The 2297-nt window shown below is 38.4% G+C and overlaps 1 annotated feature.

Moving 5' to 3' along the window:
- Window positions 404-1603: an enhancer, noted in NCBI's record as "P300/CBP strongly-dependent group 1 enhancer chr12:59587037-59588236 (GRCh37/hg19 assembly coordinates)". NCBI's record gives its function as "activates an origin of replication core promoter dependent on BRD2, BRD4, P300/CBP, MED14 and CDK7 cofactors, with strong dependence on P300/CBP, by STARR-seq in HCT116 cells {active_cell/tissue: HCT116}" and the evidence as "EXISTENCE:reporter gene assay evidence [ECO:0000049][PMID:35650434]".

Raw genomic sequence — 2297 nt, 5'->3', positions numbered from 1 at the left:
TGTATCCCCTTTGTTTTGTCCAATTTCTCCCATTTGGAGTGCCTGTACCCCCCATTGCATCTAGGAAGTAATTAACTTGCTTTTACAGACTCGTGGGTGTAAGTGACTTACCTTGTCTTGCATGAGACTTTGGACTGTGGACTTTTGAGTTAATGCTGAAATTAGTTGAGGCTCTAGGAGACTGTTGAAAAGGCGTGATTGATTTTGAACTGTGAAGATATGAGATTTGGAAGGGGCCAGAGGCAGAATGATATGATTTGGCTGTGTCCCCACCAAAATCTCATGTTGAATTCCCACATGTTGTGGGAGGGACCCAGTGGGAGGTAATTGAATCATGGGGGCAAGTCTTTTCCATGCTGTTCTTGTGATAGTGAGATCTGATGGTTTTAGAAAGAGGAGTTACCCTGCACAAGCTCTCTCTCTTTGCCTGCTGCCATCCAGGTAAGATGTGACTTGCTCCTCCTTGCCTTCCACCAAGATTCTGAGGCTTCTCCAGCCACGTGGAACTGTAAGTCCAATTAAACCTCTTCCTTTTATAAATTGCCCAGTCTTGAGTACATCTTTAACAGTAGCATGAAAACGGACTAATATAGTGATCATTGCCTGAATCTATTCACGATGATATTCAAATTCTACCATTTTTCTACATTTATTAGATAAAATACAGATTTAAAAATTTATTCTTGTCACTTACTTGTTGTATAGGAAAAGCACAACAAATGCTTGATTTCCCCCTAATATATTGCAGTTACCTGTGGCTAACACACCCCAAAACTTAGTACTTTAAAACAATACCATGCCAGGTGTGGTGGCTCATGTCTATAATCTCAACACTTTGAGTGGCTGAGGCTGAAAGATTGTTTGAGCCCAAGAGTTTGAGAACAGCCTGGGTAACAGAGCAAGACCCTATCTCTACAAAAAATACAAAAATTAGCCAGGCATAGTGGCTTGTACCTTCCAGCTACTCAGGACACTGAAGTGGGAGTACCACTTGAGCCTGGGAGTCAAGGCTCCAGTGAGCCATAACTGCTCACTGCACTTCAGCCTGGGTGACAGAGGGAAACCCTGTCTCAAAAAACAAAACAAACAAAAACCCAATACCAATTATGTTACTATTATCTCTCACAGTTCTGCATTCAGGTAGTTGATTCACACTTGGAGTTTCTCATATGGTTGCAGTCAGACCGTGACTGGGGCTGAAGTCATCTTGAAGGCTCATCCTTACTCACCTGTATGGAAGATTTCAAGTGGGTTTGTCATCTGAAACACCTACACATGTCCACTTCCACTCTAGCCAGTGGCTTTCTCCAGCATAGTGGTTGATTTTTAAGAATAACAGCTGTATCATATTTTATGACCTAGTCTTGGAAATCACAGACCAAAATCACAGGTCCACCAAATTTAGGGGAGGGAGCATGGACCACACACCCCAGTGGGAAGAATGAAAATTTACATTGTACGATCACATGAGACGGTAAATCTTGTGGCTATCGTCTTGGAAAATGCAGTTTGATACATTTCTTTATCACTTTTTGCTAAAATTCATTGTTACAGCATCCAACAAAGTTGATCCAATCCATTTTATCTTTATTATTATTATGAATTCATGGAAATTAATACATTTTATATATTCCAATCATTACAGTTACTGTTTCCACTCATGTATAAATTCATTATCTTGACAAGTGAAAGACTCGTTAAATTACACCTTAGTTCTTTTGATACAACTCCACAGGTTTTGAAAGTCTCTTTACTTCCTGGCATGGCATGATATTCCAGGCTCATCTTGAACATTTCTCATTCCAGAAACAGAATCCTTCGTTTCTCTAAAAGCTGTGGTTCCTTTTAGGATAAAATGCAGTATGAGTTCCTTCCTTCTGATATTTCAAATGCAAATTCAGAGCTACAGAGTTTTTACTCACCTCATTGATCTTGTGTCCCTATCTCCTTCCCCCATGCTAAAAATACTAATTACCAGTAATACCAACATAATGAAATATATGTTCAATTCCACAAAGGTAGCAAATAATCTCAGAATAAATACCAACAATAAAAATAGTAAAAGTAATTTTTATACCCAAATTTCCTATACCCAAAGTTTTGTTTTTCAGGTATGTCTGTCTCATAATGAATAAATAATCAAACTATGCTATGCCAAAGTCACTTGAAATAACTCTTCCCTGTGTGGTTGTGTCACTACCTCCATGCAGTTAGATTTATTTGCTCCTTTTTGTTAAGAATTCCATTTTAAAGATTTAACGTAATTAGTAATGTAAAATATTTACATAGTGACAAAA

This window comes from Homo sapiens, chromosome 12 (genome assembly GCF_000001405.40).
Source record: "Homo sapiens chromosome 12, GRCh38.p14 Primary Assembly".
In the NCBI taxonomy this organism is placed as follows: domain Eukaryota; kingdom Metazoa; phylum Chordata; class Mammalia; order Primates; family Hominidae; genus Homo; species Homo sapiens.
This window is presented reverse-complemented; position numbering and strand designations above follow the sequence as displayed.